Genomic DNA, 16,573 nt, shown 5'->3' with positions numbered 1-16,573 from the left:
ATTGACACAGATCAGATAATTATTAAATCAACAATGTACAATGCACAGTGAGTTTGTCAATGCTGCTTGTTCATTTGTCAACACAAATGGAACAATTGTGGTGCGCTCATTCACTAGTGGAGAATATTATTTTTGAGCTGAGTCTTGAAGGTAGAGACATTTGTAGGATGCTTTCATTTATTACAGAAAAAATATATTAATTATTATTGTATTTTTATAGAAAATTTCAAGCACAAAAGTAGAGGAAATATTGAAATAAGCATGCATGAATCCACTACCCAACCTCAATTATCATTAACTCATGACCATTCTTTTTATTCTATATTTCCGTCCACTTCATACCCCAATGAGTTGTTTATCCATTAAAAACCCCAGACTTCATCATGAGGTCAAGCGATTGAGACCATCCTGACCAACATGGTGAAACCCCGTCTCTACTACAAATGCAAAAATTAGCTGGGCGTGGTGGCACGCGCCTGTAGTCCCAGCTACTTGGGAAGCTGAGGCAGGAGAATCACTTGAACCCGGGAGGTGGAGGTTGCAGTGAGCCAAGGTCACACCACTGCACTCCAGCCTGTGAACAGAGAGAGACTCTGTCAAACAAACAAACAAACAACAACAACAACAAAAACCCAGACTTCATACCATTTCATCCATAAGTATGTCAAAGTATGTCAGTATATTTATGTAAAAGATAAGGATTATTTTTTCTAATGTTACTGCAATGCTTTTAACATACCTCCTCCTCATTATAATAATGCCATAGTATCATCAAATATCCAGTCAGATTCAAATTTCCCCCTCTTGCCTCATACTGTAAATATTTTTACAGTTGGTTTACTTGAACCACGATTGCATTTGGTTGACATGTGAGAGACACATATGAGTAAGAATGGAAGGGCAGATGTTGCAAGGTTTTCTTTGACTTCCTAGATGAGATCATTTCTTCCTCAGGATACCATGCACACTCCCAGTTGGGCATATATCCCATATGCTGCTTTGTGTAGATGCTTTCTTTCTCCTTATTTCCAAAATAATAAATACATATTGAAGGAAAAACTTCCGAAAATACAGATAAGGAAAAAGGGGAAATATCTGATAGTGATAACCAATGCAAACTTTAGGGGTATGTCCTGTTGTTGCACATTTTTTCTAAGAAAACTTTACACATATATTTATAAAATTATATCTCTCACTGTGATTACATGCTTACATATCTGGCTTTCTACCACACTAGACTGTGAATTTTTCAAGGAAAGGATCTTGTTTCACTCATCTTTGATTTCTCAGCCCTTCTTACAGTGTCTAGAAATCCATCTGCTTAAATAAATGAAGGGATGGGGGGTTTCCTGTTTACCTTTGGTCTTCAAATCCTGAGGCTATGATGGCTATCCCACATTGGAGGATCTTGACACTGTCAGGACAATTCTCCACTCAGCACTTTCATTACAAAGGCGTAGTCTCACAGAAGAGATGTTCATGAAAGGGCTAAGAATAGAGAGCCTGAGCTGGCAAGGCCCTTGCAGTTACAGAGTTATAGGAATGGATCTGTTGCTGTGAAAGAGACTGACACAGGATGCCAGCACTAGAGGTGGCTGCTGATATAGACGAAAGGAGAAATAAATGTGAAATCTAGAAATTCACCATCAGAGGAAAGTTGAAATAACAAAGAATAATGTAAATGAGCAAATAACAAGACTTAAGGAAAGTGAAGGCATGGAAATGAAAAGAAAAGGGCACATGAATAAGGAAAGTGGGCCCAAATGACAAGATCATATAGGCCACCTACAGACTGAAAGGTGCCAGAAATAAATCTGAGAGTGGGTAGGAGGAGAAAGTAGTAAACTTGTCTTGTTCACTTATCTTGCTTGTACCATAGTTGAACCAGATTGGGTCAGTCACCTACCCTGGGGGCATAGGAGGAAGATGCAAGAACTATGTTTGAGTGTTCACTCCAGAACCACAAGGGTAGAATGGCTTCCCAGAAGGAATCAGGGTGAGGCTATAAAGTAAACAGAAAACAACAGATGCACATGACACCATTAAATATAGTATTTAAAATGAATTAGCATTATTGAGTGAAAATATCAGGTTGCCTATCAGCAATGTGTTTCCTATTATAGAAAGTGTGTGTGGCTGGGCGCAGGGGCTCAGGCCTGCAATCCCAACGCTTAAGGAGGCTGAGGCAGGAGAATCTCTTGAGTCCAGGAGTTTGAGACTGGCCTGGGCAACATAGGGAGACCCCATCTCTCCTACCCCCACAAAATAAATAAATAAATAAATAGATAAATAAATAAGCTGGGCATGGTGGCGCATGCCAGTAGTCCCAGCTACTCAGGAGGCTGAGGTGAGAGGGTCACTTGAGCCCCGGGTCTGTAGTGAGCCATGATTGCAACACTGCACTCCAGCCTTGTTGATAGAGTGAGACCCTGCCTCAAAAACAAAAAAACAACAACAACAAAAAAGTGTGTGTGTGTGTGCACATGCTCATACCTAGAAATTTATCTGGAAGTCTATTTCCCATAATATTTACAATGGTTACCTGGTTAGGATTTTTCTTTGTTCATTATGCAGTTCTGAGCTCCTTATATTTTCAACATGAGTATGTACTATGCTGTTTTATAATCAGAAAAGAACAATAAAACAACACAGTCTATGTAAATAATTTTATATACTACAATGTTTCATATTCCATTATGTTTCAGACAATTGTAATAAACTGTTTTCATTTGGGATGTGAGAACACATTGTGATAAGGTCAGTGGAAGGGAAATTAAAATTTGGTGGGAGGGTTTTTTTGTCTTCTCTGACACTCTGCTACTACTTGAGTGCCATTCTAAACAGTTTTTCACAGTGTACTGTCATTACTTACATGTCCTTTTCATTGTAACCTCCTAGAGGGGAGGGACTTGTCAGTACTCATCTATTTACCTCAGTGCCTAGCGTATGTAGTAAAGAGGTCATAAGTGTTTGTTGAATGGAATCTTATCATCTTATGAATCTATCTATAGCAGTTCTCTTACATGAGACTTGGTACCTTTTTTCCACGTGTATTCCAGGAGTATATTTCAAGTGGCCAAACCGCACAAATTCCTCATTAGCCCTGCCCATTCCCTCATTTTCCAGGGACAATGCCGCCAGGTAGACATGGGCATGCTTGAGGTGGGCTAAGACTTCCCAAATGCTCCTCAGGTTAGCACCCACCCTCTGCCCTGTGAGGCTCTGGAGCTGGGATTTGTGGCACTAGGAATTTGGAATAGGAAACTATTCTAGTTCTTCCCCCTGTTCAGTGATGCAGGTATGGGGGTTAGCAGGGAGGGAGATAAAAGGTACAAAGTGGCGTTTCTTTCTATAGGGTTCAGCCTTGGGGAATCTGCTAAAATACAGAGGGGATGTGCTCCCTTTTGAATCTTCACAAGGTACTAGCCATGCAACGTGTGTTCAGCTTGCATGAAGTTAAGGCCATTCTTGACCCCCTTCATTAGTGTGGTGGTCAGGCTGGCCCTGAGTGAGCTGCTTCAAACTCTTAGAAGTGTTGGTCAAGATCATCTGGATTTCTAAGGAGGAGAGAGTAAGCATCAGAAGCTTGGCCTCTGGCTGCTGGAAGGCACCTTTCTCTGGGTTGTGCAGAGGTGACAGAGCAGTAGGTGCACCAGAGTCATCCTTCATGGACCTCTGAGGTCAGGTAGAGGACAAGGTGGAGAAGGGCACCTGCCCTGACTCACCCCTGTCCTGGAGGTCATACAGATGCTGATTAGTAGCATAGGAATGTGGCAGGGCTAAAGGAGTTAGAGACTTTGCTCAAAGTAAGGGGCTCCACGAAATCACTGCTCTCTGGGCCTACTGTGACTATTACAGGGTGGCAGGAATTGGGATTCCTCTGTCATTAGGTGTGGTGGGCTTTGAGCATGAGTTGTTTCTGCTCCATGGTTATAATGAGTGAAGATGATGAACAAGTGCCAAGAATCATGTCTTAAAGGAAGGCATGATTGGAGTTGTGATCAATGGCATAAACTGGGTCACCAAAGCAAGAGATCCAAAAGCAAGAACCAGAGCTCACTGCTTAAAGGGGCAGCGAAACTCAGTGAATTGATGAACCGGAGTACTAGGAAGAAGGTTGGTCTGGAAGAATTTTTGACTTGGTGCTTAGGCACCTACAGTAGCTTTTTATGCAGGTTGTTTCCTGCTTTGACTGGTTGTGCCAGATCCATTAAAGGAACTGAAATGGACTGGCTGGGATATGTAGAAATGGGTACAGTCTAAGCGTCACGCCAGCACTCATGGCAGACCTTAGCTCTCCATTTCTCTTCTTTATGAACGCAGTGAGAGGTCTCCACAGGGCAGAAGGATTCCCATTTTAAGTTCTGGGTTTTTTTTTTTAATGTTATAAAAAGTATTTGTTTGTTTGTTTGTTTGCTTTTTTGAGACTGGGTCTCGCTCCATCACCCAGGCTGGAGTACAGTGGCATGATCTTGGCTCACTTGAGTCTCAACTTCCTGGGCTCAAGCGATCCTCCTGCCTCAGCCTCCTAAGTAGCTGGGACTACAGGCGTGCGCCACCAAACCTGGCTAATTTTTTTTTTGTAGAGATGGAGTTTTGCCATGTTGTTCGGGCTGGTCTCAAATTCCTGGGCTCAAGCAATCCACTTGCCTTAGCCTCCCAAAGTGCTGGGACTACAGGTGTGAGCCACCACAACTGGCCCCTTTTTAAGTTCTTATCTATAGATTCTAAGAGAGTCTAAGTTTCTAAATTTCAGATTCCATGAAGTAGTATTTCCTCTACATCAGTATCTGGGGCCTGGATGTGATAACTCAAAGAGAATTTCTCCCTAGAGGTCAACCCAACCATAGACAGTGGGAAGCAGCTTCTATCTAGTTGTACCAGATCCTGGTTGATAAAAAATGATAGCAAGGGACTGAGGAATCAATGTCCAGATGCAGGCAGTCTCCAATGGACCAAGGTGACAGTTCTTGTTCCTTGCCTTGGCTCCATGTTAGATTCCTCGGAGGGAGCTTCTAAAGTCTTCCCAAAGAAAAACAATGACCTAGAGACTGATGAAACTCTGGCCCGGTAGCACTAGAGCATTGTCCAAAGCTGGGCTCTCAAGTGAGTGGTAATGGTGGCTTAGAAGCCCCTCTTATGTGTGGCACGAGGGCTTCCTTGATCCATGTGGGTTTAATCCACTTACCTGACTCATGGTTCTGGAAGATTAAAAATATCTGGAAATCTTGCCTAGAAAGTTGAAGCAGCTCTGAGAAAAAACCAAGTCCTTAAATGGTGTGTATGTCTCTACACTTTTTGGTTCCCTGCTTTAACCCTGATTTCATCTTTTATTGCTGTCTCCCTTGCTTTCTTTAATCCAGCCATGTTAGGTTCCTTGCTTTTGCTCACACACAACAGGCCTGCTTCTTCTACCTCAGGATCTTTGCTGTTGCTGTTTTCTCTTCCTGGAATGCTCTTCCCCTAGATATTTCCATGACTCAGTCCCCTACATACATTATCTTTCTGCTCAAAAGTCATGTTCTTAGGAAGTCCTACTGTCTCAAGTTGGGTTTCCTGGAAAGCCAACTCTGAAGTGGAAATTAGTATGCAGGAAGTTTGTTAGGGAGTGCTCTTGAACCAACTCCTATGGAAGAGAAGGAATGGGAAAGAAGTAGGATTTGGCAGAGGGACAAATTGAGCTGCAATGCAGTCTCAATAGAAGACCTTGCCAAACCTACAAGGAATTCTAAAGATGAGAGGACTCTTCAGAGCTGTCCTGAGCTGGAGTGGGAGGGCTCAGCTTTTACATTTCTGTGTAGATCAGTCACGGGGTGTGAGCCTTTCCAGCATGACCTCGGATGAAGAGGTTCTTTTCAGCAGCTGGAGGAATAAGTCTTTGTGTCCTGAAGGGGGATCTGAGGAGTGTATCTCAATGCTCACCACACATACTCTGGCCCCCTATTTAAAATTGTAACCCCTTCCCCTGCAATCCCCCTTCTTATCAGTTGCTTGTTATTTCTCCATTGCACTTACCACCATCCAGTGTATTGCACCTTCACTTATTGTTTTTATTTGTTATCTCTCCCCCACATCTAGAATGTGAGATTTATGTGGACTGGGATTTTTGTCTGCATACTATTTTTCATTGCTGTATTCCTAGCATCTACAATAGCATCTGACTTATAGTAAGTGCTCAACAGATATTGATGCCTGGAATTTGCTTTAAAATACCCAAGAAAAGAAAATACACAGTTAGATAAATAGATAAAGAGAAAAAATAAGAGTGGCTATTAGTTGATAATTATTGTTTCTTGGCAATGAATACACAGGCGTTCAATATACTATCCTCTCAAAATTTTTCACAATAAAAAGCTTTGTACAAAAGGTTTATTTTAAATTTACTCCTCACTGAGGGAGGGAGTAGTAAGAGAGACTATTCTTCTTTCCTCTTCCTTCTCCCAGTGGTATTCTGAAAATACAATTTAACATCTTCCTCAGTGGAGCAGAAAATCAATAACGTTGCTCTGGTGCTCTAAAGCCCATCCTCCAGCCAGTCGTCCTCCGGTGACCCAAAGTGACTTAGCTGCCAACTCTTCTGCAAGATTAGTGGTGCAATTAACAATCCTTGAAGAATTAGGCCAGCATTTCTTGTCAGACACTACATAGGTATACTTCGAATGAATGTAATCTGAGAAACTAAGAGTGATTAGTGATTCCCCCCGGCCCCACCTCCCGCCCCGCTTTCAATAAGGCATGAAACAGTGGCCAGGAGGAGCCTGTGTGAAAGTCCTCAGCTCTTCCCAAAAGAGAGGATGGGTTGTTGACTCATGGAGGGGGCGGGGTGGGGGCAGGGAAGAGAAACCAGCAGTTCCTTTTTCTCTGCTGCTCCTGTGGCCTGTCTGACCTTCTTTCTTTCTACTCTCCCTAGCTCCCTGAGCTCCAGGCACACTGGCCTCTGCTGCTGCTGACATGGCCAGACCCACCCTTACGTTGGAGCCTTGACTGTGACCCTCTTGTCTACATGGTTTATTTCCTCACCTTCCCCAAGCCTTAGCTCAAATGTCACCTTCTCAGTGATGGGCTTTTTAAAATTGCACCCTCTTTCTCCACTCCTGTACTCCAAACCCCATGACCTTGTTCTACTTTTTAATTATTCCTTGCCACTTGTCTCGTTCAAGCATGCTATATAATTTATTTATCCATCTATTTATTATTATATAATTTATTTATCTAATAATATAATGTATTGATCCATCTATTCTGAGTGCCTATAGTAGTGCCTGGCATGTAAATAGTCATGGAAAAAGTTGAAAGAATAAATGGAGTTGAGTCCTGTGTTTCTCAGTATCTATACATTCAAGATTTCTTCCAAGTCAGTCTTGGTTTTAATTACATTACTATCAGTCTCTCTCTGCTTCCCTTCCTCTTGCCGTATACCTCCATCCCTCCAGTTCATACTTTAAAGCAACCAGGGTGATCTTTAAAAAATGAGTCTGATCAAAGATAAGTGTGGAGTTTAGGCAAAGCAACATGGGAAGTTTTATCCCCCTATGCCCAGTCACAGCAGGGAGCCATTACCACCCAAAGCCTGAGCCTGGTGTGAGAACTGACAGGACCTGCAGCCTTCAGTAGAGGATGCAGCCAGCAGGAGACAACCCATCAGAAAGGCAGCCAAGGAAATAAATCTCCTGACTCCACTCTCCTCCCTTCCTCTCATTTCCTACAAGTGCCCCCCAGTGACTGAACTCAACCAGAAACTAGAGGACAAGGGTGCCATTGAGGCAACCCTTAGAAGTCAGCCTTCTTGGGCACAGGGCAAGGTGGACAGTGGAAGTTAGGAGAAGGAGAACATGGAAGATACCCACTTTTTCTCTTCTATCATGTTGCTCTGGTCCCAAGGCCACCCTTCATATCACTCCCAAAATATGACAAGCTTTGTCCCAACTCAGGACTTTTGCACCTGCTCTTCTTTCTGCTTATAGCTTGCCTTTACAAAATTAGCTCCTCATCCTGTCCTTACTCAATTATCTTCTATTACATCACCCTATTTCTTTCTTTCTTGGTATTTATGACAACATTTAATAAATTTGCTTCATGGTCCATCTCCTCCTCTAGACTATGCAAGCTCTTTGAGGCCAGGAACCTTGTCTATCTCATATTCCAACACGTGGAACAGAGTCTGGCATGGAGTAGGTGCTCAATAAACATTTTTTGAGTGAATGAACACATAAATGAATAAGCAAGAAAGTTTTAAAAGAAAATGAAGGTGAGCTGGCTGGCCAGATATTAAATTATAAAGCTAAAGTAACTAAAACAATTTGGCCCCAGCACAGGGATAGAAAAAAACAGTCCAGAAATAGAACCACTGTCATAGCTTTCTAACTAGTTTCCCTGCAATATGGTGGTTTAGTACACTGTACAAGTGGCATTTAAAATCAATCTGTTTTGTGCTGCTATAACAGAATACCTGAGACTGGATAAGTTATAAACAATAGGAGTTTATTTGCCTCATGGTTCTGGAGCTGGGAAGTCCAAGATCAAGGGGTCACACCTGGTGAGGGCCTTCTTGTTGCGTCATAACATGGTGGAAGGCATCACATGCAAGACAGTGTGCAAGAGAGTTGAACTCACTTTTACAACAAACCCATTCCCACGATAAGGACATTAGTCCATTAATCCCATTAATTCCAGGGTTAGGCTCTGTCCTCATGACATAATCACTTCTTAAAGGTCCCACTTCACAACACTGTTGCACTGGTGATTAAGTTTTCAACACATGAACATTGGAGGGCACATTTAAATGATGTTTGTATGATTAGCTAACAATTTTTTATTAAAATGTTTGGGAGGCCAAGGTGGGTGGATTGCTTGAGCCCAGGATTTTGACACCAGCCTGGACAACACAGTGAAACCCCATCGCTACAAAAAATAAAACATTAGCCAGATGTGGTGGCATGAATCTGTAATCTCCGCTACTAGGGAGGCTGAGGTGATAGGATCACCTGAGTCTAGGGAGATCAAGGTTGCAGTGAGCCATGATTGTGTCACAGCATTCCAGCCTGGGCGGCAGAGTGAGACCCTGTCTAAAAGAAAACAAAAAAGAAAAAGAAAAATGAATGTATTCCTCACACCTTCATTGAAATAAATTGTATACAGATCAAACATGTAAAGTGAAAACATGAAAAAAAATGTGTGAATACTTTTACAGTCTTTTTGTTTGTGTGCTTTTTTGAGACAGGGTCTCACTCTGTTACCCAGGCTGGAGTGCAGTGACATGATTATGGCTCACTGTAGCCTTGATGTCTCAGGCTCAAGCAATCCTCCCATCTTAGCCTCTTGAGTAGCTGGGACTGCAGATGTGAGCCAACATGCCCAGCTAATTTTTTAATTTTTCGCAGAGACAGGGCATCCCTACATTAACCAGGCTTGTCTCAAACCCCTGGGCTCAAGAGATCTTCCTGACTTGGTCTCCCAAAGTGCTGGGATTACAGGCATAAGCCACTATGCTCAGCCTACTTTCATAATCTTGAGAAGAAAAACACTATCCTAAACATTACAGATAGAAAACATAAAGGGCTGGGTGCTGTGACTCATACCTGTAATCCCAGAACTTTAGAAGCCAAGGTGGGAGGATCACTCGAGGCCAGGACAATATAGCCTGGACAATAAGCCAGACCCTGTCTCTACAAAAAATAAATATATTAACAGGGCATGGTAGTGCATGCCTGTAGTCCTAGCTACTCCACAGAGGGTAAAGAGGGAGGATCCCTTGAGCTCGGAAGTTGAAACTGCAGTGAACTGTGATTATGTCACTGCACTCCTGTCTGGGAGATAGAGTAAGACCTTGCCTTAAAAGAAAGAAAGAAAGAAAGAAAAGTAAACATAAAGAAAAAGAATGATAAGATATCTAAAATTCATGTTTTAAAAAATTACAAAAGTGTTATAAGTTTGAAAAACCAGGAAAATACCTGCAAAACTTAATTTCCATAATATATAAAAAGCTCATATAAATCAACGATAAAATGGAAACACTCTAAAAGAAAAATAGGAAAAGGACACAAACAGAAATTCAAAAATAGGAAGAAAATTCATTAAGTTATAAAATGTTCATTTTACAATGAATATAAAATATCATTTTTGAATTTTCAAATTAGCAACAATTGAAAATATTGACAACACTAAATGTTGACCAGTATATTAGTTTCTTACTGCTTCTGAAACAAACTACCCCAAATTTAGGGGCTTAAGATGACAAAAATTTATTATCTTATGGTTTTGTAGGTCAGAATTCCAATACTTGTTTCACTGGGCTGAAATCAAGGCGTCGGAAAGGTTGCCTTCCTTCTGGAGACAGTAGGGGAGACTCTAAAGAAACTCCGTTTCCTTGCTTTTCCCAGCTCCCAGCAGCTGCCGCATTCATTGCTCATGGCCCCTTCCTCCATCTTCAAGGCCAGCGAGTTTGCTTCTCCCTCTGACCTTTCTTCAGTGGTCACATCTCCCTCTGACAACAGCCTGAAAAGGTTCTCTCCTTTAAGGACCCATGTGATTAGGCTGGGCCTACCCAGATAATCCAGGATAATCTTCTCATCATGAGGATGTGATCATCCTCATGACTTAATCACATCTGTAGAGTCCCTTTTGTCGTAGAAGGTAACATACAGGTTCCACATATTAAGACAAGAACATCTTTGGGGGTGGGATGAGGTGGAAGAAGATGTATAATTCGGCTTACCACAGCCAAGGTGAGGGAAAAAAAGGGACATTTCATTTAGTTTTCCTGATAAATCTTACTTTAAGAATGTGCTCTAAGGCAGAATAACCCAAATTGTGTTCTTCAGAACTTTATATAAATTTTCCTCTTAGGAACACAGGAATATTAGAAGATTCGCATTACACATTAGCATCATAAAGTTTATGAGGTCCACAATTTAAAAAACAAAACAAAAATAGTTTTTAACATTTCCTAAACTTCTTTAGCCATGGAATCTACTTTCTTGCATAACATTGGTTAACATTCAATTACTAAAAGTTATAATATAATTGAACTTTACATTCATATGTATAAATACAATACATACTATACATATATAATTATAACAAAGGGTTGTGTTCCTATTTTGTCTCCACAACTAGCTCAGTCTTTGAAAAGAACACTCAGAAAGAAATATTGCAAATAATAAATATGTGAGTGGTCAAAAACTTATGAAAAATAACACCCAATGAGTAATAAGAGAAGCACAATGTTTCAAAGGAAGAAACTATTAGTTTTCTTTCAAATTTAGGAAAGGTTTTTGAAAAGATAAATGCTAGATTTGGCAAGGATATGGAAGAACGTGTCCTTAAGTATATCGTTCTGGTGAGAGAGCAATTGGCATAAGCCTTTTGGAAAGCAGGTGGGTTATATAAATCAAAAGCCTAAAAATACATATGCCAGATGCCTGAGATGAAAAGATATGTACCCCTTGGTTTAGCAGTTTCATTTCTGAAGTGATCAGCGGTAGAAAAGAATGAGCTACTGCCACATGCAACAACAGGAATACATCTCGCACACATAATGACGAGTGAAAGAAGCCAGACACAAAAGAACACGTGTTTTTGTTTATATGAAGTTCAAGAATGGGCTAATTTATCTATGGTGGTAGAAGTCAGAATGGTGATTATTCTGGGTCTGGGGGTAAGTATTGGTAGGGAAGGGACATGAAGGAGCCTTCTAGGGTACTGGAAATAGTAAATATCTTGATCTGAGTGTAATTACATGGCTGTATACGTATTTAAAAATTCCTCAAGCTGTAATTAGGTCCTCTATTGTGTGTATATTATATCTGAATTTAAAAAAAACTAACATATATATATATATATATGAAGACCCAAGGCCATGTTTAAAGTGATCCTCGATTAGCAAAGTCAAGACAATTTTAGCATTAAAATAATGACTGTAGTGACTGAGGATATCTGAGAGTAATACTTTGGACAAATAAAAATCCATGAATCCATAATGGATACTCAAAAAAAACAAAAAACAAAAAAACGGTAGGGGCTGGGGAGTAATCCTTCTTCTTTACAGAAGAATGCAAGCTAACAAATCAGAAAAGAATTCTAGAACTAGAAAATCATCACTTTACAACCTCATATTACAAGAATTATCAATGACCGCTTAAACCATTAGGTGAAAAATGATTGGGGAACAGAGTAGTCACAAGATTTCAAAATATCACCCCACAGATTACTTGCTAATTGCAAACAGAAAATACGCCTTGCAACGGAGTGACTTAGTAGGCATCATTTTAATTTGGTGACCAAATTCAGCATCAGTCACTGGCATCAACTCAACATTATGTGCCTCTTGATGTGTTGTGAGGTTAAGTACACAAGCATCACTATCAGCTGTTATATGCTGCCTAAGATGCTAATTTCTCTGGTATGGAATAGAACCTGGACGCTGACGTTGGAAGTCTTCACAAGCTCCCCAGAAGAACTTAGTATGCAGTTAAATTAGAGACAGAACCATTAATTTAAATATTTGCAAGGTACATATTGAGTACCTCTATAAATTATTTTGTAATTGCATACTAGAGTCCTATTGAAATGAGCTGAGGGAAAAAACACAAGTGCGATGGAAGACTACCTTCCTGATTTTGGTAAGCAGCCAAGTAATCTTTTTCAAAGACCCTTTCCCTTCTTTTTGCACTATCATAAATTTTTAAAGAATATGTGTCTTTAAAATATGCCATAGTAAGAAATTACAAGTCAATGGGAAAAAAGGTTTCTACAGATCAAAGGTAGTTAAGTGCTACTTAAGGATATTTTGGCTGAGCGCAATGGCTTGCGCCTGTAATCCCGGCACTTTGGGAGCCCAAGGTGGGCGGATCACTTGAGGCCAGGAGTTCAAGACCAGCCTGGCTAACATGGTGAAACCCCCACTCTACTAAAAATACAAAAAATTAGCTGGGCGCGATGGCGGATCCCTGTCATCCCAGCTACTTGGTAGGCTGAGGCAGGAGAATCACTTAAACCCAGGAGCCGGAGGTTGCAGTGAGCAGAGATCGCACCACTACACTCCAGCCTGGGCAACAGTGCACAACTCTATCTCAAAAGAAAAAAAAACGATATTTGATATAATATTTTAATTTTAAAACTGTGTATTTTGAAAGTAGAATGGTGTTTGCCAGAGGATGATGGGAGGAGAAAATAGGGAGTTATTGTTTAATGGGTATGGAGTTTCAGTTTTACAAGATGAAAAGAGTTATGGAGATGGTTGGTGGTTATGGTTGCACAACATTATGAATGTATTTAATGCCACTGACCAGTGCACTTAAAAATTGGTGAAGATGATAAATTTTATGTTATATTTACTTTACCACAATTTTTAAAATTGGAAAAAATATGTATTTTTCCTCTCACTGCCCAATATAAACACTATCAGAAAAGAAGGTTTTCACTATTTAAATAATATTTGCCCTGACAGATTACTGCTAGTCATGAGGCAATGAATGGCAGGGTGCAATTTTACAATGCAAAAGTCAGGCTGTTACCACATATTGTATAATTCTATTTATATAAAATGTCCAGAATGGATAAATCTTATAGTGACAAAGAGTAGATTAGTGGTTGCTCAAGGCTGGGGGTGGTGGTGGTGGTAGTTGGGAAGTGGGGGTGATGCCTGCTAATGAGTATAGGGTTTCTTTCTGGGGTGTTGAAGATGTTCTGAAAATATTTACAGTGATGGTTACGCAGCACCGTGAATAGACTAGAAATCACCGAGCTATACACTTTAAATAGGTGAATTGCATGGTATATGAATTATATTTGAATAAGGCTGTTATTTTTTAAAGAAATCAGTCTGTCACTCCCTGAATCTAGGGATCAATCTTAACATCACAAATAGTGGAACAACCAGACATATGGGCATCCTGCTATAATGCAATTTAAAGTACCACTAAAATAGTCTTGCCAAAAAAAGTTTACTTGAATCTAATAAGTCCTTTAGATCTAAATTCCAGGGGCTAGAGGAATAAATCCTGCCTCCGTGAGGAAGCAATGAGACAACTCCAGAAGGTGGAAAATTCTACCAGACTGTTAATAGAAGAGACTACTTTTCTAGCCTCCTCAACAAGTCACTGTCATGGGAGGATAAGTGTGGACTGAAACTGTTCCAGATTGCACAAGACTTAAGAGATGTAACAAATGCAAATTGTGGGCTTTGATTGGATGCCATTTTGAACAAACCTCTAGAAAGAATATTTTTGTACAATTGGAAAATTCAGATATAGAATGGGTATTTTATGATATAAAAGGAATTATTGTTAATTTCATTAGGGATTGTTGTTACATGTTCTTAATTTTTAGAGATGCCTACTAAAATCTTTAGAGCATGAAAAAACATGATCTTTATGATTTACCTTAAGAAACATCAGAAAAAATATAGAGGAAGCAATTATGGCAAAATGTTAATCATTGTCAAGTTTAGATGAGTATATGGGGGTTAATTTTACTATTTCCTCTCCTTTCCGTAGGAAAATTCTCATTAAAAGAAAAACCTGTAAGGCCAGGAAATTGTAAAATCTGTAATAATAATCCAAAAGAATTATCCAAAGATTTCTCTAAAAGATGTTTGATTAAATACAGGAGTATAAGTACTTTTTGACAAAAATGAGGGCTATATAAAAGTACAGGTCGACCAGGCGTGGTGGCTCATGCCTGTAATCCCGGCACTTTGGGAGGCCAAGGAAGGCAGATCACTTGAGACCAGGAGTCTAAGACCAGCCTGGCCAACATGGGGAAACCCTGTCTCTTCTAAAAACACAAAAACTTGCTGGGTGTGGTGGCACATGCCTGTAATCCCAGCTACTCAGGAGGCTGAGGCACAATAATCACTTGAATCTGGGAGGCAAAGGTTGCAGTGAGCAGAGATCGTGCCACTGTACTCCAGCCTGGGTGACAGAGCAAGACTCTGTAAAAAAAAAAAAAAAGAAAGAAAGAAAAGACAACTCAAATGTTATAGAATTTTGTATTGCATTTCATTTCATAAAACATTATTCTTTCTAAAATGAAGGGAATTTAAAATACATATAACTAAATAATTTTTATACCAATGTATGTAAAACTTTTCATGCACATAAATTAACAAATCAGGAAAAACCTGTTATTACATTGTCATTTCTACATTGAGATTACAAAATAGGGCAATTTTAGCCATATATAAAATTTAGAAGTATTATATTCATAAAATCCCAACAGAGGTCAACAGACAACAGTAGGGAAAAAAGAACTTGTTCTAAATTTTCCGATATACTAATCTAGGGTTCCACAGTCCAGTTGCCTCTCTTGCCCTGTCCACTCAAAGATCTCTGTCTTATTTGTAATATTTATTATCATTCAGATAATCTGGGGAAGCAGAGGTCCATAGTCAGATTCTCTCAACAGGGTCAGCAGCAAATCATAATTGAATGGCTATTTTACCCTACTTCTGCTCAAGCCATTATTAGCCATACTCAAAACAGGTTTACTGTGAAGCTAGTGAAGCTTACTTAAGGTTGTACAAGCCCCTTCCAAGGCCCAGGGAAAAGCCCTAGCTAGTTCACATAGCCATATACTTTCACACAATTTTAAAAAGTAAATCTTTAAAACTCAATTAGTTCAGAACTCTGTACTCTAACTTCCCACCAAATTTCTCCCCATGTTGGATGTTGGGTGAATAGCCATAGGCATTTCTGGAAGTTAGATAAAGGAAAGTTAAGTTGGGATATATTGAGTTTAGTAGGATAATTTAAGTGTCTCATAGTCACTTCCATGTTGAGTTAGATTATTGCTAGTCTGGCTGATATAAGAATGGATTCCTAGAACACGCCTACTGCCAACTGTGCCAACTCATCTGGTATCCAGGCACAAAAGTGCATGGCTAGAGGTCCCATCACAATGTGAATGTGTCCTATAGCTTCTGGCACCAAAGTAGTATGTCAACAGTGGAGGAGAAACAACACCCAAAGTGCGATGTAGTAACTGGGATGACCAACATTGCTGCAGAGAACAATATGAGGAGCATGCAAGCGGACTAAATACTCCAACCTGAAGACAAAGAGTCAGACCAGTAAAACAATAACCCAACTGTATGCTGTTCATCAGATACATACTTTAAAAATAAGGACATGGAAAAGTTGAAAGTAAAAAGAGAACCATATTGAGCCCAAGCTACCATGTGGAAAATTCTTCTAATCATCAGAAGTGTAAAATTATAAATAGCAGATTTAGTTCCTTGTCAAAATGAAGTTTTTTTTTTCAAGTATATATTTGATAATGCTGGGTAAACAGCTTTAAATACATGTTTTTTTCTGATAGGGATCTCACATTATAGACTTGATCATAATTCCTGTGTTTGTGGATCATAAATAGTAGCAGTATTACAAACAGAGAGTATGTTCTTGTGTAACATTGTATGTTTTAAGCATCTCAACAAACAAAAATTTAAAAAACCAAATTTTGATCAACATGCTATAGGACAGATTGAGCTTTTTTCTATTCTCTCCATGTAAACTGATACTATAAAATCAATGTCATATGAAAAAATTTGCAGCCAAAAATGGGGAAGAAGGGT

The 16,573-nt window shown here is 39.8% G+C and overlaps 1 annotated feature.

Moving 5' to 3' along the window:
- Positions 6,649–6,966: a transcriptional cis regulatory region, noted in NCBI's record as "candidate enhancer chr15.1151 targeted for multiplex CRISPR interference". NCBI's record gives its function as "positively regulates SCG3 gene expression with high confidence in K562 cells {active_cell/tissue: K562}" and the evidence as "EXISTENCE:mutant phenotype evidence [ECO:0000015][PMID:30612741]".

Source organism: Homo sapiens, chromosome 15, assembly GCF_000001405.40.
Source record: "Homo sapiens chromosome 15, GRCh38.p14 Primary Assembly".
In the NCBI taxonomy this organism is placed as follows: Eukaryota; Metazoa; Chordata; class Mammalia; order Primates; family Hominidae; genus Homo; species Homo sapiens.
Note: the sequence above shows the minus strand (reverse complement) of the source record. Positions and strands in the feature narration are given on the sequence as shown.